This window comes from Homo sapiens, chromosome 2, assembly GCF_000001405.40.
Source record: "Homo sapiens chromosome 2, GRCh38.p14 Primary Assembly".
In the NCBI taxonomy this organism is placed as follows: domain Eukaryota; kingdom Metazoa; phylum Chordata; class Mammalia; order Primates; family Hominidae; genus Homo; species Homo sapiens.
The window spans coordinates 28,708,728-28,736,214 of record NC_000002.12 but is presented as its reverse complement, the minus strand read 5'-3'; the positions used below and the strand labels follow the sequence as shown (position 1 = coordinate 28,736,214).

General features: G+C 43.5%; 2 long non-coding RNA genes across 15 annotated transcripts in view, besides 2 other annotated features; both read left to right on the top strand.

Moving 5' to 3' along the window:
- The window catches only part of PPP1CB-DT (PPP1CB divergent transcript), a 29,489-nt gene extending 15,542 nt beyond the window's left edge, over positions 1 to 13,947 (top strand). For 5 of the 14 annotated variants that reach the window (XR_001739362.2, XR_002959377.1, XR_007086262.1 and 2 more), the window contains 3 exons: positions 4,232 to 4,304; positions 4,478 to 4,549; positions 5,461 to 7,541. This is a non-coding gene — a long non-coding RNA (PPP1CB divergent transcript). Of the gene's footprint in view, positions 1 to 4,231; positions 4,305 to 4,477; positions 4,550 to 5,460; positions 7,542 to 9,084; positions 9,889 to 13,204 lie in introns of those variants that run through there. The other 9 variants (XR_007086259.1, XR_939886.3, XR_007086261.1 and 6 more) reach the window with 8 other exon arrangements.
- LOC100505774 (uncharacterized) lies at positions 10 to 27,165 on the top strand. Its single transcript, NR_145832.1, has 2 exons — positions 10 to 188; positions 26,716 to 27,165. It is a non-coding gene; the product is annotated as an uncharacterized LOC100505774 (long non-coding RNA).
- Positions 7,446 to 7,646: a silencer, noted in NCBI's record as "peak3641 fragment used in MPRA reporter construct". NCBI's record gives its function as "represses an SCP1 promoter by STARR-seq MPRAs in K562 erythroleukemia cells {active_cell/tissue: K562}" and the evidence as "EXISTENCE:reporter gene assay evidence [ECO:0000049][PMID:32103011]".
- Positions 12,733 to 13,233: an enhancer, noted in NCBI's record as "H3K4me1 hESC enhancer chr2:28945848-28946348 (GRCh37/hg19 assembly coordinates)". NCBI's record gives its function as "activates a minimal SCP1, AML or CMV promoter by ChIP-STARR-seq in primed H9 embryonic stem cells {active_cell/tissue: H9 hESC(primed)}" and the evidence as "EXISTENCE:reporter gene assay evidence [ECO:0000049][PMID:30033119]".
- Positions 27,166 to 27,487: the final 322 nt, after the last annotated feature.

The window sequence follows — 27,487 nt, the reverse complement described above, 5'->3', positions numbered from 1 at the left end:
ATGCCTGGCATCAGTAACTCAGGCTGTTTCCCACACTACAGGCCAGCACTGTGGGCTCTCAGTTTATTGGGAAATGGAAATAAGAGGGAAGGACAAAAGTCCACTGGGAAGCAGACTGGACAGAAAGGAACTCTGAGCAGCTAAACTCTGACTAATCCCAGGGTATACCTGCGTTTTCTCTTCACCAGGTTAGACTTTTAATTACTGATTTGGTAAATTTGGATTCCTTTTTCAACAACTCATGTAAAAATGTTATGTTTATGTTTGGGGAGGCTGGGTGCGGTGGTTCATGCCTGTAATCTCAGCACTTTGGGAGGCCGAGACGGGTGGATTGTTTGAGGTCAGGAGTTCAAGACCACCCTGGCCAACATGGCGAAACACTGTCTCTACTAAAAATACAAAAATTAGCCAGCTGTGGTGGCACACGCTTGTAATTCCAGCTACTCAGGAGGCTGAGGCAGGAGAATCTGTTGGACCGGGGAGGCGTAGGTTGCAGTGAGCATAGATCCTGCCACTGTACTCCAGCCTGGGCAACAGAGCAAGACTGTAAAAAAAAAAAAAAAAAAAAAAGTTATATTTATGTTTGGGGAAAGCAGGTGCAGAATTATTTAGATTGCAACCATAAAAAGTTCCCTGGGTGGTTTTGCTGCCAAATCAGCTTAACCTGGGGAATTCACTTCAGGTAACCTCCTCCTCCTTTCCTGTGGTCATCCAAAAGGCAGGGATGGCTAGTATAATTATCCACATCACAGGGATGCTTAGAGGCTTAATTAATGTTCATAACCCACTTTGAAGTATTCAGATGAAGAGACAGTTGACAGAAATGGTGGTGTTCTAAGTTCTACTTACAAACTCTGGCAAGTTACAAAGCAAATTTTGAAGTTGTTTTTTGGTACTCTACTTCCAAATATACTGGCATGGCAACTCCAAGATCCTCCCTCATTTAGTTAGAATCACTGCCACCCAGACAATTTAGAGGACTCTATTTCTACATTTTATTCACTTTAATTTTTTAAAATTTTAAAATTTTTTATTTTTTATTTTTTTTGAGATGGAGTCTTGCTCTGTGGCCCACGCTGGAGTGCAGTAGTGCAATCTCGGCTTACTACAACCTCTGCCTCCCAGGTTCAAGTGATTCTCCCACCTCAGCTTCCCGAGTAGCCAAGATTACAGGCATGCGCCACCATGCCTGGCTAATTTTTTTGTATTTTTAGTAGAGATGGGGTTTCGCCATGTTGCCCAGGCTAGTCTCGAACTCCTGACCTCAGGAGATTCGCCCACCTTGGCCTCCCAAAGTACTGGGATTATAGGCGTAAACCACTGTGCCCAGCCATTTTGTTCATTTTTAAAAGGAAAGTATAAATATGAGGTGATTTATAACAAGTGGCATTTGGAGGAATGACACTAAACAAGTTGGTATGTTGCTATTGTCAGCAAATAGAGAACTTTTAGCCCACAACTAAGATGCAAAACAACTTTCAAGATAGGGAAAAAATGTGCCAAACTCTGATCAAATGTAAGCCTTAAGCCAAACACTATGAATACCATTAGAAACTTTTTTTTTTCTTTAGAGACAGGGTCTCGCTTTGTTGCCCAGGCTGGAGTACAGTGGTGTGATCATAGCTCACTCCAGGCTTGAATTCCTGGGCTCAGGCGATCCTCTCACCTCAGCCTCCCAAGTAGTTAGGACTATAGGCACATGACTTTTAAAAATATTTTGGACAGATGAGGTCTTGCTGTGTTGCCCAGGCTGGTCTCAAACCCCTGGCCTTAAGTGGTCCTCCTGCCTCAGCCTTCCAAAGCACTGGGATTACAAGTATGAATCACAATGTCTGTACTGGAAACCTTTCTAAAATAAATCCATCCTGCTTCATAATGTGGAGATGGCTTAGGATACTATCTTTTCCATTCTTGAGAGGGAGAAACCCTGAAATATTGTCAATAAAAACCGATCTGGGAGATGGCACTAAGACTCTGTCAAGGGTGTAGTCTCCCTTTATGTAGTAATCAATGCATTAGGTTTTGCTTGATTAAAAAAAAATCAAGTCTGTGAGCAAACAAAAATGTGGTGGGCTGAATAATGAAAATGAAAATGATGGGCCGGGCATGGTGGCTCACGCCCGTAATCCCAGCACTTTGGGAAGCCAAGGCAGGGGAATCACCTGAGGCCAGGAGTTCGAGACCAGCCTGGCCAACATGATGAATCCCCGTCTCTACTAAAAATACAAAAATTAGCCAGGCATGGTGGCATGCGCCTCTAGTTCCAGCTACTTAGGAGGCTGAGGCAGGAGAATCGCTGAACCGGGAAGGCAGAGATTGCAGTGAGCTGAGATGGCGCCACTGCACTCCAGCTTGGGCAACAGAACGAGACTTCATAAAAAAAAAAAAAAAAAGATGATGCTAATGGTGAAAATACTAATAGCCATCATTGAGGGCTTACTAGGTGCTAGACACTGTTCTAAGAGCTTTATATGTCTTGACTCATCTGATCCCACCAATAACCCTGGAAGATAGAACCTACTATTATCCTTATTTTGTGGACAAAGAAACTGAGACGTAGAGAAGTTCAGTAACGCTAACTTGCTTATGGTTATACAGCTTACCAGCTAGCAGTGGTTTTCAAAACACTATTGTGCATTACACTTCTCCAGAAAGCTAGTTAAAATTCATATCTTAGCTCAAGACCAGACCTTCTGATTAGAAGTGTGAGATGGGGTCTAGAAAAGTGCATTTTGGCTGGGCACGGTGGCTTACGCCTGTAATCCCAGCACTTTGGGAGGCCAAAGCAGGCAGATCACGAGGTCAGGAGATTGAGACCATCCTGACCAACACGGTGAAACCCCATCTCTACAAAAATACAAAAATTAGCTGGGTGTGGTGGCACATGCCTGTAGTCCCAGCTACTCAGGAGGCTGAGGCAGGAGAATCCCTTGAACCAGGGAGTTGGAGGTTGCAGTGACCCAAGATCGTGCCACTGCACTCCAGCCTGGTGACACAGCGAGACTCTGTCTCAAAAAAAAAAAAAAAGAAAAAGAAAAATGCATGCATTTTTAATAAATCCCTGGCAGCCTGGTCAACATAGGGAAACTCTGTCTCTACAAAAAGTTAAAAAATTAGCTGAGCATGGTGGCACATGCCTGTAGTCTCAGCTACTCAGGAGGCTGAGGCAGGAGGGTCACTTGAGCCTGGGAGACTGAGGCTGCAGTGAGCTGTGATCATGCTATTGCACTCCAGCCTGGGAGACAGAGTGAGATCCTGTCTCCAAAAATAAAAAATAAAAATAAATCCCTGGGATCAGGTGTGGTGGCTCACACCTATAATCCCAGAACTTTGGGAGGCTCAGGTAGGAGGATCACTTGAGGCCAGGAATTTGAGACCAGCCTGGGCAAAATGGTGAGACCTTGTGTCTACAAAAAGTTTAAAAATTAGCCGGATGCAGTGGCACGTACCTGTAGTCCCAGTTCCTTGGGAGGCTGAAGTGGGAGGATTGCTTGAGCCCACGAGTTTGAGGTGGCAGTGAGCTATGATTGTACCACTGCACTCCAGTCTGGGTGATAAGACCCATTCTTTAAGAAAAAACAATAAACAAAAATTAAAATAAATCCCCAAGGCAAATCAACTGTAGGAGGCCATTAGACCACTCTTTGGGAAATAGTGGCCTAGACCTAGGAAAAGGAGAGGCTGGGAGTTGAAATTTTCCAGTGTTTCTCCAGCATTGATTGGCCTTCCCTGTCCAGCCACATAGCAGGTCATCGGCCTAGCTGGTACTGTATGTCCTTGTAGTGAAAAAAGGCTGTATCAGGCTTCCAATGCTTAATGAAAATAGCCTTTCTTTTTTTTTTCTTTTTCTTTTTTTTGAGACAGAGTTTCACTCTTGTTGCCCACGCTGGAGTACAATGGTGTGATCTCGGCTCACTGCAACCTCTGCCTCCCAAGTTCAAATGATTCTCCTGCCTCAGCCTCCCTAGTAGCTGGGATTACAGGCACCCGCCACCATGCCCAGCTAATTTTTTGTATTTTTAGTAGAGACGGGGTTTCACTATGTTGACCAGGCTGGTCTCGAACTCCTGACCTCAGATGATCCACCCACCTCAGCCTCCCAAAGTGCTGGGATTACAGGCATGAGCCACTGCGCCCGGCTGAAAATAGCCTTTCGAAACGTCCAACTTGATTTGTTCAGCTTCCATATATAACATTTAACCTTCTGATTTTAATATGGTTTCTTAAATAGATTTTTCCTACCAGGAAGAGCATGTGCTGACCAACAGACATGAATTTCAGCCTGGTAGTTACAACATTCACAGGTAATGAATAAATGGCATTGTATTTTATTAATCAGTCTATTATAACTCTGATTAATATAAATCAATTCCTCAGAGCCAGCTCTCTTTTAAATAAATGGAGAACAATGAGTTTTATGAATTTGCAATCTTTGGGCCCAGCACACATTTTGAGGCCTCATTTATGCTTTCCTTAGTATACCCACATCACTAAGCTGGGAGGCACATTTTGAGACCCAGAATCCTGACACCTCCATGCCTTCAAAAGGGTAAGTTTATCAAGTTTAATAACAATTCATAAAACATCACTCACCTGGGTCCTCCTCCTCTACCTGTGACTTTCAAACACCTGTGACCTCTGAGATATTGAGGGGCATGGTGATTCGTTTTTAATATCTTTGCCCTTTTGCTCTTTTCAAATGACACTTGTGGCTGAGCGTAGTGGCTCACACCTGTAATCCCAGCACTTTGGGAGGCCGAGGCAGGGAGGTAACATGAGGCCAGGAGTTCAAAACTAGCCTGGCCAACATGGCGAAACCCCATCTCTACTAAAAATACAAAAGTTAGCTGGGTGTGGTGGCACATGCCTGCAATCCATGCTACTTGGGTGGCTAAGGCAGGAGAATCACTTGAACCCAGAAGGCAGAGTTTGCAGTGAGCTGAGATCACACCATTACACTCCATCCTGGGCGACAGAGTAAGACCCTGCCAGGAAAAAAAAAAAAAAAAAAAAAAAAAAAAAAAAAAAGCTACTAATCTGATTTGGTTTGAGGTATAACCTAGAAAATCTGGAAAAGACACACAAATGAACTTTGCCAGAAACAAAGCTGTGGAGACTAAACCAATCCATATTACACACCTAACTTTCCTCATTATATATTTTTTTGCAAGGGCAAAAAAAAAAAAAAATGAGGCAGGGTAAAGCAATGACAATTTCCACGGTCTCTGTAAATGAGGAAATTGTCAAAGGTATTTGCCACTGATACACTCCACATCCTGTGCTTTTTTTTTTTTTTTTTTTTTTTGAGATAGGAGTCTTGCTCCATTGCCCAGATTAGAGTGCAGTGGCATGATCACAGTTCACTGCAGCCTCGACTGCCTGGGCTCTAGTGATCCTCTTGTCTCCTAAGTAGCTGGGACCACAGGTGCGTGCCAGCTAATTTTTAAATTTTTTTTGTAGATACCGAGGTCTCCCTGTATTGCCCAGGCTGGTCTCAAACCCCTGGCCTCCAGCGATCCTTCCACCTCAGCCTCCCAAAGTGCTGGAATTACAGGTTTGAGCCACTGTGCCCAGTTTCTTCTGTGCTCTTGATGGAAAACTTATTATTACTGCTACTCTCCTCCTTGCCCATCAGCCATACTCTGGCTGCATTAGCTTTCTTTGTATTCCCAGCACTCCCCAGGCCTGTTGTTCCTTTTGGGTCTTTGTCTGGGGTCTTGCTCTAGCTGTAATGTTCTTTACCCTTAGATTCCCATGATTGGCTCCTTCTTGTCCCTAAGTCTCAGCTAAAGTGTTATCCTGAAGAAAGGCCTTCACTGATGATCCCATCCAAAGTAATCACTGTATTACACCATTCAATTTTATTCTTTGCATAGCATTTACCCATTGCTAATATTTTTCTTATTTATTTATTTTTTTTAAATAATCTATCTCCTGTCAACTAGAATGTAAGCCCTGATAGGGCAGGACTCTTTTATTACACTGTATTTTCATTATTATATCTACAGTGCCAAAAACTATCCCTAACACAGGGGAGATGCTCTATACATGTTTGGGGAGGAGGGAGGAAGGAAGGGAGGGAGGGAGAGAGGAAAGAAGGAAGGAAGGTGGGAAGAAAGGAAAGAAAGGAAGACAATTGGGAAGGATTTTTCTGATCTGAGGCTGATTGTTGGAGGCATCCAACTGGTTATTATTTTGCTTAACAGCAAAATATTTTTATCCACCTCCTTTGGAAACAAGAGATCTTAAAGATGTTTTGAGTTGATTACATAAGACTATTTAACAGTGGTTATGAAAACAGATGAGTTATCCTGAGAGGCTTTACTAGATATTTGTCATCATGAGCTCAGTCTCATAAGTTATTATAATAGAAAATCAGGAAAAACTGCTTATGTGTTTGAATTCAAGTAGCTAAGTCTCAAAATATAATAAAAAACAGTTGCACTACAGATTTTCTTTCAAAATAGCTCAAAAATACCTTGTTGGCAGCAAAGGGAGTAATAATAAAATATCTTCCAAAAAACCTGAAAATAGGAAATAAATTTGCCTTCTGAGAGTTAAACCAGTCATACACACACACACACACACACACACACACACGTGCACACATGCACACATGTGCACGCATGTGAACATGCATAGAATCACACAGAGATTAGGCTAAACCCAATGAGGGAGTAAACTGAGAGATAACCAGTGTGTACCTGAAGACTTTGGGAATACCCCTAACTTCAGTGACCTGGGGGTAATCCAGGAAGGCAATCACCAGAATGTGTTTGTTAATTTAATCCGTTGTATGGAGAAAGTCTGGATGAACAGAGGATGTAGGCAGAGAGCTGTCAGCCTGTAGCCTGGAAAACCTCAACCTAAGAAGCAAGGAGTGGGTAGCACACTCCCAACTACTGTTCAAGAGAGAAGGGGCCTTGGCCTAAGGATTTGAGCTCTCAGGTCTCTGTGGCAAATGTATCTTTGGATAAGTCATCTACCCACCTCTCCTTACTCAGATTTCATGCTCCACATGGCTCCCTGTGTGCTGAAGCCTGATTATAGGAAGCAAAGACTCTGGTCTGCTGATGTGAAGGCTCACCTGTTAGCTGGTTGCATTTATGGTTAAAATGGAATGAATTTGAATTCTGGCTATACAGCAGTCTCTGTGAGCTTGGGTTAGTATGAGTTTACCTGTGAGATAAAGTTCCAGAGCAGAGTGACTTGTGACTTGTGTTGGGTCCATACTAAGTGGCAGACAGTGGACCAGAATTTATACCACAAATCCAGGTTGGCTCTGAGAAGACACTGCCACTAAGGACTGATCTAAACTCAGTTCCCTTTCAAGTTCACCAATTGTATGACTCACATGACATTGAATGAGGCCGGGAGTGTGATACTAGCTGGACTCACCTTCAAGAACCCAAAAGACCCCAGTGGATAAGATGTGGATACTCTAGTCCATGGGTCAGCAAACTTTTTCTGTGAAGGGCCAGAAAACAAATCTATTAGGCTTGTGGACCACATACAGCCTCTATTACATATTTGTTATCTTCTTCTTGTTGTTGTTCTTGTTGTTCTTCTTGTTGTTGTTGTTTTTCGAGACAGAATCTCACTCTGTCACCCAGGCTGGAGTGCAGTGGTGCGATCTCTGCTCACTGCAACTTCCATCTCCCAGGTTCAAGGGATCCTCCTGCCTCGGCCTCTGAGTAGCTGGGATTACAGACATGCGCCACCACGCCCAGCTAATTTTTTGTGTTTGTAGTAGAGATGGGGCTTCACCATGTTGGCCAGGCTCATCTGTAACTCTTGACCTCAAGTTATCCACCCACCTCTGCCTCCAAAAGTGTTGGGATTACAGGCGTGAGCCACTGCGCCCAGCCTTTTTATTATTATTATTATTATTATTATTATTATTATTATTATTATTTTGAGACAAATTCTTGCTCTGTCACCCAGACTGGAGTGCAATGGCATGATCTCATCTCACTGCAACCTCTGCCTCCCAGGTTTAAGCGATTCTCCTGCCTCAGCCTCCATAGAAGCTGGGACTACAGGCATGCACCACCACGCCTGGCTAATTTTTGTATTTTTAGTAGAGACGGGTTTTTGCCATCTTAGTCACTGGTCTGGAAGTCCTGGCCTCAAGTAATCTGTCCACCTTGGCCTCCCAAAGTGCTGGGATTATAGGCATAAGCCACTGCGCCCAGTCTATTATTTATTTTTTATACAACCCTTTGAAAATATGAAAACCATTTTTTGCTCCTGGTACAAAAACAGGCTCCTGGCCACATTTGGCCCAAGGGGATGCAATTCACTGACCCCTGCTCTAGTCCTGAGCTGGCGACTCATTTATGGGGAGACCACAGACAAGCTACTTTAATTAGTTTATTCATAAACAGTACCTTCATAATTTGCCTTATTCCACTCCAGGTGTGTGACCACTAACTTTGCCAGTCTGTGAGGCCAGATAATCAAATATGAAAACTGGGTGGGTCACAGGAGAGTGTTTTGTACTGGCATGGTGCGGGGTGGCTAGCCAAGGAGACATGTGACCCCAAGAGGGGCCGGACAAGAGCTGCTGTCTTTGAGAACACTTTGGAGAACAAGCATTGTCTGAATAAAGTCTCAACTAAAGATAAGACTTCCTAGATAAAGCTAAGGAGAAAATGCTTTTGGTCAGGAATCCCAAAGATCTTTGAGATATTTCCTAAGGGACTCTCAGCTACACACCTACCCTTCTGTGGACTTGTAAACGCCTGGCTCTGTGGGGCCCTATCAGCTCTCTACCATGCATCCAGGTAAAGGGAGCTGCCCTAGGAGTTTGGAGAACATATCCAAATTGCACCTCAATGAATGGGGATCGCTGGAAACTGGATCTTCTGGAACCCAGCTATAGTTAAATAAATTATTTCCTTGAGCGGGGAACAAGACTTAGTGAAAGAAAGGAATTAAACCAACTTTGCTGTTTGTTTTTTTGGGTAAGTTTAGTAGGCAGTCTAAATATATCATTCCTATTACAGCTTTTTCATTACATATTTTATTCTTTGGAATTTAAATCACTTAAAATTTTTATTTACTTTAACTCAAAATATGCAGATGAGCAGATTCATGTATGACCAGAATGTAAACCAGGATCACAGAGCAGCCGGAGAGGTGGTGACAGAACCATCGATGGAACCCTGGGCTCCAGGTTCTGACTCCTATTTTCACTCACTAATTTTTTTTTTTTGAGATGGAGTCTTGCTCTGTCGCCAGGCTGGAGTAGAGTGGCACAATCTCTGCTCACTGCAAGCTCCGCCTCCCGGGTTCACGCCATTCTTCTGTCTCAGCCTCCCAAGTAGCTGGGAGTACAGGCGCACGCTGCCATGCCTGGCTAATTTTTTTTTTTTTTAATGGTATTTTAGTAGAGACAGGGTTTCACCATGTTGCCCTAGCTGGTCTCGAACACCCGAGCTCAGGCAATCCGCCCACCTCGGCCTCCCAAAGTGCTAGGATTACAGACGTAAGCCATCGCGCCCGGCCTATTTTCACTCTTTATTGCAGTGATTCTTGAATGCTGCTATGGATAGGGATGGGGACAGGGGTGGGGTGGGGAGCTCTGTGTAGTTTGAAAAAGATTTTATCCCTGTTAATTCCCAGTGGAAATTCACTGATCTACAATTCATCTGATTTTGCCTTGGTCTTCTTGAAACCTCTTCAAACAAAACAAAACAAAAAAATAACACTCAAGCTGGAGAATGGTTCTACTTATTCAGAAGTGGCCAGCAGAAGAGCTATAGAGAACAGAGTGATTCCCAAATCAGCAAACCCCATGAGCTTGGATGATTCAAACCAAGCTGTCGCCGGGATCAGCTTCATTCACTGGCAAGAACCCGCCCAATAAATCGCAAGATAGAACCACTTTAAGTCCTCTCTTTTCTAAAATAGGAGTGTGTCTCCTACTCATTTTGTTCATTTCAAAAGGATCAAAGACAAGTAAATTTTTTTAGACTATGAATCTGTGGCAAATGGGTAACTTGAATAAGATAAAATCATTCTCCATCAAAGGAAGGTGGATTGAAGGGGTAACACACTCTCAAACTACCCGCAACAACACCTCCCCCCAACAAATAAAATGTAAATGTGAGATTTTAAGTAGGTTAATAACATAAAACACTCAGAGGAGCCAAGAAGAGACTCTGGCATCAACATTATAGAAGTACTATGGCTGGCCAGGTGCGGTGGCTCACACCTGTAATCCTGCACTTTGGGAGGCAGAGGCAGGCAGTTCGTTTGGGCTCAGGAGTTTGAGACCAGCCTGGGCAACATGGTGAAAACCCATCTCTACTAAAAATACAAAAATTAGCTGGGGGTGGTTGTGCGTGCCTGAGGCTGAGGTATGAGAATCTCTTGAACCCGGGAGGTGGAGGCTGCAGTGAGATGAGATCATGCCCCTGCACTCCAGCCTGGGCAACAGGGTGAGAGCCTGTCCCAAAAAACAAACAAACAAAAAACAAAACAAAAAAAGTAACTATAGCTGCATACAGTTTAGCTATTAAACACCTTATTTGAAATAATGTGAGCCGCTAACTAGAATCATATACATTTTAGAATTTAGGTCGACCCTAGAGAAATTTTCCAGGTGAAGAAACTGAATATCTGCTCTGGACGCAGAATCTGAGGGCTGGGCTGGACCAGGAGCCTTGTGCGTGCCTCTAGCATAGCACATAGCATAGAATGCTCTAGCCTGAGCTCCTGGACTGCAGACCATATTCTTTCTCTTTCTATTCCTAACAGCTAGGAAAGTGTCTGGCGCTTAGTAGGTGTCTAGTAATTTTTAATACACCAGTTGGAAGAAGCAAGAGTGTAAATCCTAGGACAATAAGAGAAAAAGTTTAGAGGAAAAATCCTTCTCTGATCTCTCAGAGCATGGTAGGGCGAAATTACCCCAAAAAGCAAAAGTGACCTCAGTGTGGCTTTTTTTAGGTGAACCTCCCAGTCACAGGTAAGTATTTGCCAGACTGCCCAGAGCGATCACTTCTGTCATCGCTATTAATAACATGGCTTGCTTATTTTGTCTTATTGGAGTATTAGAATGAGTTCACTTGCAATTAAGTTCCCTGCTTTAATTACAGCAGAAATAAAAAATAGGTAGACAAGTGACTTTCATTCAAGTATTTCAGACATGTTTCACTTTTGAAATCTGAAGTATTAAATATTAAGCATCTTGTTTGAAGTTAAAAGTACAGATTATCTCATCACGGAAAAGATTAAATTATAATGCTATCTACCTTATGATTAAAATGGCTTGTCAGATTTTAGTAGCTGTTGAAAGAATCATATCTTTTCTGTATCTAAATTGTTTGATTCTTTTCCCTGAAAAGACAAAAAATACCGTGAACCCTTAATTTCAATAGCACAAAGAATTGTGCCTTCCATATTTATAAACCAGCCACAGGACAAAGGGAAACAATATGGAATTAAACATTACATTCTCTTAAGAAATATTTTCTTTCAGGGTTAAATAAATATCTTTATGCTTTTCCATTTTCTTTTTGAAACAGAGTAACCCTATGACATTTCAAAGTGAAATAGCTACACACACAATTTTTATAGAGAGGCTAGGATGACTTTTTTTTAGAACAAGTATAATTAACCACACACACAGCATATTATTCATTGTCCTATGACCTTTTATTTAATTTCATATTCTGAAAATGTTTGCTTCTAAATTTACTCAGGAAAATGAGGAAATGTTATGGTTGCTTTGCTGGCTGTATATTACAGTGAAGTATACCCAGAATGGTTTTCAAATGTAGATGTTAAAAAATATCTGTTGTTTGCCTGCTTTGGCATGTAAAAGTTTTAACAAAAGCATAGTAATTTGGATTTATCAGAGAGACCCCCCAGCCAAGGTCTTCAAAAATTCTAAGTAACTATAAAGTATGGTGCCCGGTGGGGTCAAGGAGAGGAGCACACCCACTGGAGTACGGGACAAAAGTCAGTGGCTTTGGATGTCCCTGAAAAGTCTCCTTCCCCCTGCCCTCCCAGCCCCCACTGCTGTCCTTCCTATTCCATTGCCTCCAGGGTCCATGATGTGGCTGTGTGGCGGGAGTAGATCAGGGGTTAAACATATATACATATATTTTAAAAGTTGTAAAATCCCTTCCACTAAAACAAAAACATAAACAAAAACCCTCTATTACACAGCAGGTGAAAAGGACCTCCTGTGGTTGATCTGTGGTTTGGGGGTGGGGGTCAGAGGCACCTAGGAATATATGAAATGAAATTTTGGAATCTCTGCTCTAATATGCCTGCCATTACAAGTTGGGTCACTTTCCTTACTCTAGTGTGATGCCATTGCCTAGGCCAGAGCCACTTATATGGGAGTGCAGCTTGTGCCCTGTGCCAGGTGCCCAACCAAGAGGGACATTAGGGATAAAAATCCAGCCCTGGCTTCTCTTGCTGCGTCTGGCTCCCTGGTGCAGGGCTGATTCTGCAGGGAAGAAAGGGCCTCCTTTGTATTATGTCTGCCTGAGGGGGATGTAGTTTTCTTTTTCTTTTTCTTTTTTTTTTTTTTCCGAGACAGAGTCTCTCGCCCAGGCCGCAGTGCAGTGGCACGATCTCGGCTCACTGCAAGCTCCGCCTCCTGGGTTCACGCCCTTCTCCTGCCTCAGCCTCCCGAGTAGCTGGGACTACAGGCGCCTGCCACCATGCCTGGCTAGTTTTTTGTATTTTTAGTAGAGATGGGGTTTCGCTGTGTTAGCGAGCATGGTCTCAATCTCCTGACCTTGTGATCCGCCTGCCTTGGCCTCCCAAAGTGCTGGATTTACAGGCGTGAGCCACTGCACCTGGCCTTTCTTTTTTTGGGGGGAGGGGGACAGAGTCTTGCTCTGTCACCTATGCTGGAGTGCAGTGGCACGATCTCAGCTCACTGCAACCTCCGCCTCCCAGGTTCAAGCGATTCTCTTGCCTCAGCCTCCTGAGTAGCTGGGATTACAGGCACCCGCCACCTCACCCAGCCAACAGGGTTTCACCATGTTGGCCAGGCTGGTCTGGAACTCCTGACCTCAAGTGATCTGGCTGCCTCAGCCTCCCAAAGTGCTGGATTTACAGGCGTGAGCCACTGCACCTGGCCGAAAGCCAAAACATTTTAAACAAAATGTGCTCTATACTTCAATCTTGACAAATCCATAACATCATTAAAAACATTTGTTTTGTTTTGTTTTGTTTTGAGACAGGAGTTTCACTCGTTGCCCAGGCTGGAGTGCAACGGCGCGATCTCAGCTCACTGCAACCTCCGCCTCCCCAGTTCAAGCGATTCTCCTGCCTCAGCCTCCTGAGTCACTGGAATTACGGGCGCCTGACACCACGCCCAGCTAATTTTTTGTATTTTTAGTAGACATGGGGTTTCACTATGTTGGCCAGGCTGGTCTCGAACTCCTGACCTCATGATCCTCCTGCCTCAGCCTCCCAAAGCACTGGGATTACAGGTGTGAGCCACTGTGCCTGGTCCATTAAAAACATTTGTAAAGCTATGGTGTTGATAAAGTATTATGAAAGACTGCAAAAAAAGATGGCTAATTTTTAGTTATTATTGCACATGTTTAGAGGAGCTAATGACATTTTCTATGATTAATAAAAGACATTATTTATGTTTTTATTTATGTATTCCACAACATTTATTTTATTTTCTCCATTTCAGGAAAACCACTATGTTGTTACAATAAAGATTTTCATGTAATTTGTGTTCAATTGATAGTAATAATGTAACAAGTTAAAAATGAAGGTAATTGTGTTTAAAATTTGAGCATATTTTCATCAAAATGTAAGTTAAAGTGATTGTAAATTTTAAGATCATAATTACTTTGTATATCTTCAAGAAAATTATTGTTTTAAAATATTTATGCCTATTAAAATTAGAAGGCAAAATAAAAATATATGAATACCAACATTTTAAATAAAAATCATTTAAATAAAGCTGAACTTTTTTTTTTTTTTAAGAGGTCTCACTGTATTGCCCAGGCTGATCTTGAAGTCCTTGGCTCAAGCTATCCTCTCACCTAGGCCTCCCAAGTGCTGGATTACAGGCATGAGCCACCATCCTGGACAATATGGTGAAACCCCATCTCTACAAAAAATACAAAAAATAGCCGGACGTGGTGGTGCACGCCTGTAATCCCAGCAATTTGGGAGGCTGAGGTGCGAGGATGGTTGAGACTAGGAGGTGGAGGTTGCAGTGAGCTGAGATTGTGCCACTGCACTCTAGCCTGGACAACAGAGCCAGACCTTGTCTTGGGGGAAAAAACGTAATAAGAATTGTTTGCTATTGCAAAATGTCCATGGTCACAATGCACAATGTGCAACTGTTGCAAATGCCACTTAATTCCCAAGTACCTCCAGAACTCGGAGTTGGAAAACAGAGAAGCTGGAAAAGGGATCCTCAGCATTCCTAGCCAATGATACTTGGTAATGCAAGAATCTATTGCATTCATATTCTCTGAAAGGAGGAATTTGACAACTTAATTAATTTGTCCTTTTTTACGTAAGAGTTTCTGCCACTCAAATCTTTGCAAAGCCATTTTTTTCCCCTAATGTCAGCAGCAACACAACCCACAAAGCTTTTTGTTTTGAAGACATAGGGCAAGAGAGATACAGAAGTGTTTCTGTGAATCCTGAATGGTGTTATCTCAAGAAGAAATGTTTAGGGTCATGAGTTGCACTGGACCAGCATGGAGGGGCTGGATCCCAGGGCCAGAGGCACCCCTATGTCTTTTTTTTTTTTTTTTTTTTTTTTTTTTCTCCTGAGAAAGAGCCTTGCTTTGTTACCCAGGCTGAAGTGCAATGGTGCAATTTCAGCTCACTGCAACCTCCACCTCCCGGGCTCAGGTGATTCTCTTGGCTCAGCCTCCTGAGTAGCTGGGATTACAGGCACACGCCACCACGCCCAGCTAGTTTGTATTTTTAGTAGAGACGGGGTTTCACCATGTTGCCCAGGCTGGTCATGAACTCCTGACCCCAGGTGATCCACATGCCTCGGCCTCCCAAAGTGTTGGGATTACAAGCGTGAGCCACTGTGCCCGGCCACCTCCATGTCTTTTAATCAGCTTTGTGTGTGTTTGTTAAACGTGGAATACAGGTCAGAGGTCTCTGCTGTTTGCATTTCACAGTGCTACTATCTGGAAGTTTAGGATAAATCATTCTTTTAAAAAAAGGCTGTGTCAGAATTCAGGCACAGATATTTACATGGTAGAATGCCCACTTTAATTAGCAAATTACAAATAGAAGTCGTGCTGAAATTTTGCCTCTCATTTTTCTGTGAGAGTAGTTTTCTTTTTTTTCTTTTTTTTAGACGTAGTCTGTCTCTGTCATGCAGGCTGGAGTGCGATGGTGCGATCTCAGCTCACTGCAACCTCCACCTCCCGTGTTCAAGCGATTCTCCTGCCTCAGCCTCCTGAGTAGCTGGGATTACAGGCGTGTACCACCACGCCCAGCTAATTTTTATGCTTTTAGTACAGACGGGGTTTCATCATGTTGGTCAGGCTGGTTTTGAACTCCTGATCTTGTGATCTGCTCGCCTCAGCCTCCCAAAGTGCTAGGAGACATTTAACGTTTTGAGGAATTGCTAGATTATTTTTCAAACTGGCTATACCATTTTGCATTCCTGCCAGCCATGTGTGAGGGTTCTGGTTTCTCCATATCCTCACCAACACTTGTTATTATCTGTCTTTTTTATTATAGCCATCCTGGTGAGTGGGAAGTGGTAATCTCATCATGGTTTTGATTTGCATTACTCTGATGGCTAGTGATGTTGATAGTTCTTTTTATCTAGCTATTTCTGAAGAGAGAGAAAGAATGACTATGTTTGTGAACATCTTCATTCAATACTGTGCTCATGGTCTTTAGATATAGATTAATTCATAGAATGTAAAATTAGAAGGGACCTTAGACCCAGGTCAGGTACCTGCTTTATACCATAGCTCACCTGCAGTGCTGGGTGTCAACTACTTCCACTAGTCAGAAAGTTCTCATCTTTGGTGGGTTTTATTTTTATTTTTTGATGGAGTCTTGTTCTTATTGTCCAGGCTGGAGTGGAGTGGCATGATCTCAGTTCATTGCAACCTCTGCCTCCTGGGTTCTAGATATTCTCCTGCCTCAGCCTCCCGAGTAGCTGGGATGACAGGTGCCTTCACGCCTGGCTAATTTTTGTATTTTTAGTAGAGACAGGGTTTCACCACGTTGGCCAGGCTGGTCTCAAACTCCTGACCTCAGGCAATCTGCCCCCTTTGGCCTCCCAAAATGCTGGGATTATAGGCATGAGCCACTGTGCCCGGCTGACTTTTTTTTTTTTTTAATGAAATCTTTTTCTGAAACTTTTTTCCAGAAACTTTTAGTCACTAAGCCAAGCTTTGCTCTCTGAAGCAAGGCAAAGCTCTCTCTTCATAACTCAGCATTCATCTCCTTCATTCGGCTAAATCCACAGATATATTTTTAAAGACAGCTTTGGGCTGGGTGCGGTAGCTCACCCCTATAATCCCAATACTTTGGAAGGCCAAGGTGGGTGGATCACTTGAGGTCAGGAGTTCGAGACCAGCATGACCAACATGGCGAGACTCTGTCTCTACTAAAAAATACAAAAATTAGCCAGGTGTGGTGGTGGGCGCCTGTAATCCCAGCTTCTCAGGAGGCTGAGGCAGGAGAATGGCTTAAACCTGGGAGGTGGAGGTTGCAGTGAGTGACATCTTGCCATTGCGCTCCAGCCTGGACGATATGGTGAGATCCTGCCTAAAAACAAAAACAAACAAACGAAAAAACCAGTTTTGGCAGCCCACTAAGTTGTTGCCTTTTTCTTTTTCCTTTAGAGTTAATGAGCCCAGCCTGAGGCTGCTATGCAGATCTGGCAACACTTACCAGGCTGTAGCAGCTCAGCTGGGATTCACCTGGAAAGTGGGTAGATCAGAAGGTTCCAGACCAAAGTCTGGGTGGAGGAGGCTTAAGTAACTTGAAGAAACATACTCTGAAATTGCCCGCATGTTTTTTCCAGTCACTCTATTTAGTTTGAAATTTCAAACCATTTTAAACAAGGGTATGTGGTTTTTATGTTTACTGAAAAGGAACAATTTTTTCTTTTTTCTCTTTGAGACAGAGTCTTACTCTGTCCCCCAGGCTGGAGTGCAGTGGTGCGATCTCAGCTCACTGCAGCTTCCCTCTGCCAGGTTCAAGCAATTCTCCTGCCTTAGCCTCTCGAGTAGCTGGGGCTACAGGCCTGTGCCACCATGCCCAGATGATTTTTGTATTTTATTTTTCAAGTAGAGATGGGGTTTCGCTATTTTGGCCAGGCTGGTTTTGAACTCCTGACCTCAAGTGATTCTCCCGCCTCAGCATGCCAAAGTGCTGGGATTACAGACGTGAGCTACCGCGCCCTGCCAGGAGCAAATGTTTTTAAAAATGTTGAGAATGTAGTCTATAAAAAGAGGGTCTCTGCCCTCCTGCTTACTGTATAAAAAGATACGTTTAGGTCATTTCACTCAACCCGGCATACTTTGAAAAGGCGCCTGCTGTCGCTTTGTGCACATGTGACTGCATAAGTGTGCGTCTTTGTGTGTTGCCATCAGTCCATTTGTCCCCCCAGTCTTCCATGAACCTGGCCTTGCCTCTCCGAGTTACTGGTCCCCAGTTCCCACTCTTCACACCTCTAAAGAAAGAGGATTCCAGCTGAGCGCGGTGGCTCACGCCTGTAATCCTAGCACTTTGGGAGGCCAAGGAGGGCAGATCATGAGGTCAGGAGATCGAGACCGTCCTGGCTAACACGGTGAAACCCCGTCTCTACTAAAAATACAAAAAATTAGCCGGGCGTGGTGGCGGGTGCCTGTAGTCCCAGCTACTAGGGAGGCTGGGGCAGGAGAATGGCGTGAACCCGGGAGGCGGAGCTTGCAGTGAGCCGAGATCACGTCACTGCACTCCAGCCTGGGCAACAGAGCGAGACTCCGTCTCAAAAAAAAAAAAAAAGAGGATTCCTTCTCCTGCTTCTACTCAGACCCTGGAACCCAACCATCATCTTTGTTCTCTCAAACCTTCCTCCATCTGGTGGATCTAGAGGAATCCCTCCTTTGTTGTGGGCAAAATGCCTTTCACCCTAAGTTAATTTCTCTCTCTCTCTCTCTCTCTCTTTTTTTTGAGACACACTTTCACTCTTTTGCCCAGGCTGGAGTGCAGTGGCGCGATCTTGGTTTACTGCAACCTCTGCCTCCTGCCTCAGTCTCCCGAGTAGCTGGGATTACAGGCACGTACCACCAGGCCTAGCTAATTTTTGTATTTTTGGTAGAGACAGGGTTTCGCCATGTTGGCCAGGCTGGTCTCTAACTCCCGACCTCAAGTGATCCGCCCACCTTGGCCTCCCAAAGTCCTGGGATTACAGGTGTGAGCTATTGTGCCCAGCCATAATTACTCTTATTTTGTATTCCCGACCCTACATCCCTCCTCATCCAAACTGATGCTTTTCTCTTAAAGGCACCCTGCCCCATTCCTTCCTGTCCCTGGAATGCACCAGACTTATGCTTCTCCTTTTTGCTGGGCTGGTCTCTCCCATTGGCACACTCTTGCAGCTGTTGTCCCCTGGGCTCACTCCTCTTCATGACTCAGATCCCAGCTCAGCTATCACTTCCTTTGAGAGGCCTTCCCCAATGGCCCTCAGACAAAGCCCAATGACAGCCGGGATTTCTGTCTATTTCATTCATGGTAGTATTCTCGGCATCTAGAACAGTTCCGGCACATGGCAGGCACTTGATGAATCCTTGACACTAAAGGAGCTTGTGTAAAAAAGTACTAGGTTGCGTAATTTCTGCCATTTTGAGTGAGGCCAGAAAAGAACTGAGAAATCAACAAAGAAAGGAGAAGCAAACGAGGGGGAAAAGACATGGCAGGGCAAAGGACAAAAATGGGTAGTTGGAGAACAAACAGGGGACAGGGTTTATGGCCTGTTCTCTCCTTTCCCTGAAATGGAAAATGCTTTCTGCTGTGATTAAAGCAAACACCAGGCTTAACTTGAAGTAAAGGACATCAAAAAGAAAAAAATATATAGAAAAGAGGACAATCCCCCCATTCTTCTAGCTTCCGCTTTCAGTTTTCATCAACAAAATAAAAATTGGTTAGATAGGTGTCAATTCCCACTGCACATGAGAAAATTGCTTATTTAAAAGTATCAGCATAAATGGGATCCAAAATCAAGGGGCACAGTTTTGTCTAAAAGAAAGAAAGAAAAGCCGTCCCTTCTAAAGTGCAGATTATTCTACCAGACTAGGTATGAAAGGGGAAAAAAATAAAAAAAAAAGTGCACATTATTTTCTAAAACTTTTTGGCTACTCTGTAAGATATTTTGTTCACAATTGAGTGAATTACCGGCCATGGCAGAGACTGACAATATATAAAGGATGTTCCCAACTCAGCCTGTTGTGCAACCATTCTTGATTTCTTGTGTCAAACTGGATCTTCTGCTTCCCTTGCCAACTGAAATCAAATGGATGTGTTAGGTCATAGCACTACTATGGAATAGTTTCCACACTTGTTTTTCTTTCTCCTTTCTCACCTCCTGTTTATTACATGTAACAAGTCAGATTGTAATTTGAAAGTGAGGAACTAAGGCAGCTTGCTAGCACGCTGAGGCTGAGCACTGCTGCTCATATTGTTTAGACTTTTGGTGACAGCCAGAGGGTATTAGTCACATGGTTGTTTGGGATGTGCAATCATCCGAGGCTAAAATGACATCACCAGAGTGCATTACACTGGAACTTAGCAAATCTGCACTGCAGGATTTGCCAAGGGAAATTAAACTGGTAGCTTTCTAAACTCCTCCCATCCCTCATGTGATTAGTTATATTTTTCTAGTGACTTCTGTGCTGAAGAGGAACCTTGTCCAGTTCTTCTTTCTGGTGTGTGTAAATGTCACTGAAACTAAGGCTTCATGCATGTGAAATCGTTACCAGTAAAAATGTTTTTTCTTCCTCAATTTACTTATCCAATGCTTTAGACCTCTGTACATGCTATGCTTTCTTACCTCTCTGGCTGGTGGTGTGTATTGTTTCCTCTGTTTGACATGCTCTTCTCCCTAGTCCTCGCCCCTCTGCCCCTTGTCTATCTGGTGAACTCTTACTCATCCTTTAAGACCATTTCAAAATATTTCTATATGAGTTTTCCTTTACCCCCTCCTCTTCTGATTCAGATAGTAACTTCATCCTGTCTTCCATCATTCATTTTAAGAGTGTATATCCCTTGGGCCGGGTGTGGTGGCTCACACCTGTAATCCCAGCACTTTGGGAGGCCGAGGCAGGCAGATCACAAGGTCAGGAGATCAAGACCACCCTGGCCAACATGGTGAAACCCCGTCTCTACTAAAAAACACAAAAAATTAGCCGGGTGTGGGGGTGCGTGCCTGTAATCCCAGCTACTTGGGAGGCTGAAGCAGGGGGATCCTTGAACCTGGGAGGCAGAGGTTACAGTGAGCCGAGATTGTGCCACTGCACTCCAGCCTGATGACAGAGCAAGATGCCGTCTCAAGAGAAAAAAAAAAAAAGAGTGTATATCCCACTGTTATAACCTTTATCACATTATACATTATTTCCATATGGAAGTTTTATGGGGGGAGAAACTATGTCTCCACATCCTTGTTTCCCTAGCATTTGGCACAGTCTTGGCAAATAGTAAGCCCTCAACATATGTTTATTCTCTCCTTCCTTCCTCAGTTTTTTTATCCTCATCACCATGTATGTTTTCAATTTGAAACAAAGTTTTATCAATTTTTAGATTACATACTTTGAAGATATGTTATTAAGGACATATAAGTTTAGAGTTGTTATAGCTCTCCAGTGAAAAAAAAATTTTTTTTTTTGAGACAGAGTCTCGATCTTTTGCCCAGGCCAGACTACAGTGGCGCTATCTCAGCTCACTGCAAGCTCCGGCTCCCGGGTTCATGCCAATCTCCTGCCTCAGCCTCCCGAGTAGCTGGGACTACAGGCGCCCGCCACCACGCGGGCTAATGTTTTGTATTTTTAGTAGGGACGGGGTTTCACCGTGTTAGCCAGGATGGTCTCGATCTCCTGACCTTGTGATCTGCCCTCCTCGGCCTTCCAAAGTGCTGGGATTACAGGCGTGAGACACTGCACCCGGCCTCCAGTGAAATTTTTATCAAATATAGTGACTCATTTCATCCCTAAAAATGCTTTTTGTCTTAAACTCATTTGTCTCATATTAATAACAACAACATTAGCTTTTTTGAAGGGGTGGCTATTTGCCAGATATATTTTATTTTCACTTTTATTTTTAATTTCTATTAGAGACAGAGTCTTGCTCTGTTACCCAGGCTGGAGTGCGGTGGCATTTGGCTCACTGCAGCCTTGAACCCCTTGGGCTCAGGCACTCCTTTTGCCTCAGGCTCCCGAGTAGCTGGGACTACAGGTACATGCTGCTGTGACCAGCTAATTTAAAAAATATATATTATTATTATTACTTTTTTGAGACAGGGTCTTGCTCTGTCACCCAGGCTGGAGTGCAGTGGTGCAATCACAGTTCATTGAAGCCTCAAACTCCTGGGCTCAAGCAAGTCTCCCATCTCAGCCTCCCCAGTAGCTGGGAGCATAGGCACATACCACGACGCCTGGCTAATTTTTGTATTTTTTGTAGAGATGGGATCTTACTATGTAGCCAGGTCTAGTCTTCAACTCCCAGTACTACAAAGCACTGGGATTACAGATGTGAGCCACTGTGCTCAGCCTCTATTTTTTACATACTTATACTTTCTGTCATTCTTGATCCTTACAGTTTAGCAAGCCTCTTATAAAAAGTATATATCTGGATTTCTAATATTTAAAACTCTAACTTTTTTTGTACTTTTAAAGGCCAATTTGATCCATTTACATTTACTATGATTACTGAAATTTGGATTCATTTCTATAACCTTATTTTGTGCTTCCTATTTGTACTGCTTTTTCTATGCTTCTTTCTCTCTTACTCTAATGTTGTAACAAACTGAAACTTTGTGATTCTTCCTTTTTCATAAACGACTTTGATGTTCGACTCATATGGGAGGACTGGTCTAGCAGGCTTCTATCTTCTGGTTTCTTAAAAGTTTCTTCTTTTAATTAGGACAATGAGAAGATTTCAGAGGATATTTATGACTAAATATTGCATCATCAAGAAAGAAAAACACTGTAGTCCCAGCACTTTGGGAGGCCAAGGCGGGCGCATTGCTTGAGGCCAGGAGTTCGAGACCAGTGTGGCCAACATGGCAAAACCCTGTCCCTACTAACAAAAAAAAAAAAGAAAGAAAGAAAGAAAGAAAGAAAAATAGCTAAGGGGAGACTTGGGAAAAAATTTTACTTTTCAACAATTCTCACTAGAGACTGAGGCAGTTTAACAGCCAAGTAGCTCATTCTCAAAATGATGAGTCAACATGGTGTGCAATGCTGGTTACAGTATAATGAGATCTGTGTAATATGTCTGCTCCCAGTGTGAGGATGACACCTAAGGGAAGGTCCTTCTGTGCTCAGCATGCCTGTACTGCTGTGTGCTACGTGACTTCATGGAGAAGCTCCCATGACTTGCTTCTGTTCAACTTACTGTAAAACCCTCATTCTTTTTTTTTTTTTTGAGACGGAGTTTCGCTCTTGTCACCCAGGCTGGAGTGCAATGGCGTGATCTCGGCTTACTGCAACCTCCGCCTCCCAGTTGTTTCAAGCAATTCTTCTGCCTCACCCTCCTGAGTAGCTGGGATTACAGGTACTTGCCAACACGCCCAGCTAATTTTTGTATTTTTAGTAAAGATGGAGTTTCACCATGTTGGCCAGGCTGGTCTTGAACTCCTGACCTCAGGTAATCCTCCTGCCTTGGCCTCCCAAAGTGCTGAGATTACAGGCATCAGCCACTGTGCCCAGCCTAAAACCCTCATTCTTTCAGTGAGCCATCATGGTATTTGTTTGGCCTCCTCTTGGCTAGAAATCAACAGAAAAGGGAGCCTTTATATTGTGTGACAGGACTTAGTTATAGTTGCACTGCCTGATGATCCAGCATATACTGTATCAATTTCAAGATTATTATTTAAATAAAAATACATAAGTTTGACATACTTAACAGTGACTATGTTTTATAATCTTTTGATGTTTCCTCCATACCTCTGGAAAAACAATTATACCATAGCAGTTAATAGCCTGGACTCTGGAGTTGCAAACAGACTGGGTTTTTTAAAATGTTACTTATTTTTATTTTTTATTTTTAAAATTTTGTTTTTAATTGACACAATAATTGTACATATTTATGGAGTATAGTGTGACGTCACAGACTGGGTTTTTGTTTGTTTGTTTGTTTTTTGTTTTTTGTTTTTGAGATGGAGTTTTGCTCTGTTGCCCAGGCTGGAGTGCAGTGGCGCCATCTCGGCTCACAGCAACCTCTGCCTCCCAGGTTCAAGCAATTCTCCCATCTCAGCCTCCCGAGTAGCTGGGACTAGAGTCACGCACCACCACACCTGCCTAATTTTTGTATATTTTAGTGGAGACGGGGTTTCACCATGTTGGCCAGGCTGGTCTTGAACTCCTGATCTCAAGTGATCTGCCTGCCTTGGCCCCCGCAAAGTGCTGGGATTACAGGCATGAGCCACTGTGCCCACCCAACAGACTGGGTTTTGAATCCTGATTTTTCCGTGTATTAGCTGTGTGAGGTAAGGCAAGTTACTTAATCATGATAAACCTCAGTTTCCTTATATTCTAAGTGAAGCTAAATCTAAACATAGGGTTTTTATGAGAATTTAACAAATTGAAACATATAAAGCCTTTGGCCTCAAGTTAGTACTAAAAAAAAAAGAAGTAGCTATTATAATGATTTTTTTAAAAAAATGAATAAGAAGCTTCTTGAAGGAGTTCCTTCTGCGACTCCCTGTTTCTCAGCACAGAGTACTAGGCATAGGAAGGAGTCTTGGGCTGGAGTTGGGCTAGAGGAGTATTGATCTTTCCACTTCAGAGATTTAACAAGCTGAGTATGGTGGAAATCCCTTTGACCTTTATTTATTTTTTATTTTTTTGTGAGACAGAGTCTCGCTCTGTCACCCACACTGGAGTGTAGTGGCGTGATCTCGGCTCACTGCAAGCTCCGCCTCCCGGGTTCACGCCATTCTCCTGCCTCAGCCTCCTGAGTAGCTGGGATTACAGGCGCCCGCCACCACGCCCTGCTAATTTTTTGTATTTTTAGTAGAGACAGGGTTTTGCCATGTTAGCGAGCATGGTCTCAATCTCCTGACCTCGTGATCTGCCCGCCTCGGCCTCCCTTTGAACTTTTAAGATGTCTTGAGGAGGTCAGGTGTGTGACTCATACCCTCATGTGTGTCATCCTGAATCAACAGATATCAGTGTGTATCTGGATCGTTGCTGCAATGATTGTGTTGCAAACCTGTTGCTTCTGCAGACATGACTTCTTTGATAAGGCTGGCATGATCTTATATCCTCAAGTTCTGATCTCTTCTGCAAACCCAGTTAGAAAGTTATGAGGTAGCAGAGTGCTGCTAACCTCATCTCCAGAAATCTCTACTTCCCCAGGTAGGGGAAACCCTGTCCTGGGGTGCTGAGTTAGAATTAGGAATATATTAGATTGGTGCAAAAGTAATTGCGGTTTCATAATGGCAAAAACCACAATTACCTTTGCACCAACCTAATACATTTTTTCCTATTATGAACATGATTATTTGTAGGTGATATGTACATCAGGCTCACTGCTATTAATAATGGGTAAAGGCTGGGCACAGTGGCTCACATCTGTAATCCCAGCACTTTGGGAGACTGAGGTGGGAGGCAACATAGGGAGACTCTGTCTCTTAAAATAAGAAAATTAAAAAAAAAGGAATAAACAATGGGTAAAATAAGACTATTAGGACATAGCCTGAGATCCTAACCTCTTTAAGCAACATGATTTCCTATGGGAAATGTGTTATCAGTTCCAAATAATTGATTTACAGGTAAAACATCAAAACATAAGCCATTAGAAAAAAAAAGGGCTGCAATCCTTCACATGTTCAATATAGGAAGAGGGAAAAAATCCTGCAGAGCAGTCAAAGTGTAGGAACAGTTGGATACTGTGCATTTTTCTAAACTGGAGGTCAATCAGGACAACAGATGAGCAGCTTGCTGCAGAGAGCAACACTGGCTTCTTAGTGATCACCAAGACAGAGACATTGAATGAGATTTGGCTCCATAGCCACTCCTCTGCCCTTGCTATGTTCGGATGCCTCCTTATTCCTTAGAGAGTCCTCCTTGAGAAGGGAAGGCCACCTTCCTGCTCAGGATGCTCTGGAAGCTTCTGAGTACTGCTGAGAGGGGCCTCTGTGCCTACACTCCCTCACCCTAAATTGACCTGGCTATAAGCAGCTCTCCAAACTTTCTTTGCCAGATCCCTCTCTAACCTCTTGTCACTCTTATCTCTGACTGCCATGGGCATGGATCGCTCATGAGTCAGTCAAGAAACAGGTAGATGCTAAGAGTCCACTGTTGCTCAGGATTCTTCTAGGCTCTGTGAGTACAGAAAAGAAAAAGATAGAATCTCTGCTCTCAAAAGAATTTACAAACTAGTTTGGGAAGCAGCGTATGCTAGGAGTTCAAACACAGGATCCACGTCAGTCAGCCCTGACCAGAATCTCAGGTCTACCGTCTCCTAGCTGTGTATTTTGAGTCTCAGTTTTTACATTTGTAAAGTGGGGATGATAAAAGTGCTATCTCAGAGGGCTGGCATGAGGATTGTGTTGCAAGATAAAGTATTTAGCAGAGGCTGCACATAGTAAGTGCTCGATAAATGTTAGCTATTATTATCATCATTATTCAGCAAGTCCCAGATGGGATATCAACTAGTCTGGGCCATGTAGGAACCTAATAACACCCTCCTCAGTCTTCTCAGACCTGGGGGAGGAGGTACTGCCTTGTGGGCCACAAAAATAATGGGGATGGACTGGATACCCCCGGAGAAGGGCATTGGGGATACACCAAGGTGCTGCTCTTGACTCCCTGGTGAAGGCAGTCTGCCTGTCTTGGCTCAGTTCAGCACCAATCACCTTGTTGGGCTTGGAAACTAAACAATGGGAACTTCTCCTGCCTTTGAAGAATTTGCCAGCTAGGTGGGGGTTCAGTACACGCACACAAGATGCAGCTTTAACATAATGAGGAAGAAGCATATTAATTAACAAGAACAGGCTGGGCGCAGTGGCTCATGCCTGCAATCCCAGCACTTTGGGAGGCTGAGGAGGGCGGATCATCTGAGATCAGGAGTTTGAGACCAGACTGGCCAACATGGTGAAACCCCTGTCTCTACTAAAACAAAAAAAACAAAAAACAACAACAAAAAAACAAAAATTAGCCAGGTGTGGTGGTGGGTGCCTGTAATCTCAGCTACTCAGGAGGCTGAGGCAGAAGAATCTCTTGAACCTGGGAGGTGAAGGTTGCAGTGAGCTGGGATTGTGCCATTGCACTCCAGCCTGGGTGACAGAGCAAGACTCTGTCTCAAAAAAAAAAGACCAAAATGACATGGTAAAAACTTGATATGCCTACAATAAATGTTTGGGGCAAGAAATGCTTATTGATACTTCTACGTTCTGGACTTCTGGGTAAAATATTCTGATTACGTTAATACCACCCATAGCTCTGTGGCAATAACAGCAGAAAGGCCCTTTTCTTACCACCTTCCCACCTCCATCTCTTTGTTCCCTGTGTCTGTTTCTCTCCCCAGACAAACTGCGGCCTGGACCAGCTGGTGAAACATAATTCTGAATCCTGCCCACAGCCTTCGGTGGTTTTGGATGAAAGGCCAGCGCCTTGGGAGCCCTGCGTTTGATTTCAAGTTTTAAGGCCGGCACTGGTGGAGCAATGAATGGTGAAAGCTCTCCCCTTAAAGGAGCACAGTTGCCTTTAGGTGACTGCTAACTCAGGCTTTTGCTGAGGACAGTGTTTACTTTGTGAGCTTAATGACAGGGCTGGCTTTCTGGGAGTGTTGCAATGAAACAGACTCAGACACAGGCCATCATGGGCCTCCTCCCTAGCAAGGCCGCCACGGCTGGCATCTCAAGAGCAGTCCGTTGAACTTGGGATTTGGGTGTGAGACACAGTTTCATCAGAAGAATTTAAACCAAAGTCTACATTTGCCCTCTAGATAAATGTGTGTGTTCAGCAGCAACCACAACTCCTTGCCTCATTCTCTTGGTTGATTATGTGACTGTGAGAAGAAAAGCAAAAGCAAAAATGCGAAGCGTAGCTATGATGCTATTTTAGTTAAAAATATTCTGGTAGAATTTGAAGGTACCATAGAGATTACCTACAGATGGAAAAAACTGAAGGTCAGAGATGGGAAGTGCCTTGTCCAAGATCACACAGCATATAAGGGAAGAAGTAGGACTGAAATCCAGATTTCTCTGTTCCTGTTCCTGTTTTCTCTTTTCTTTTTTTGAGACAAGGTCTCACTCTGTCGCCCAGGTTGGAGTGCAATGGTGCAATCTCGGCTCACT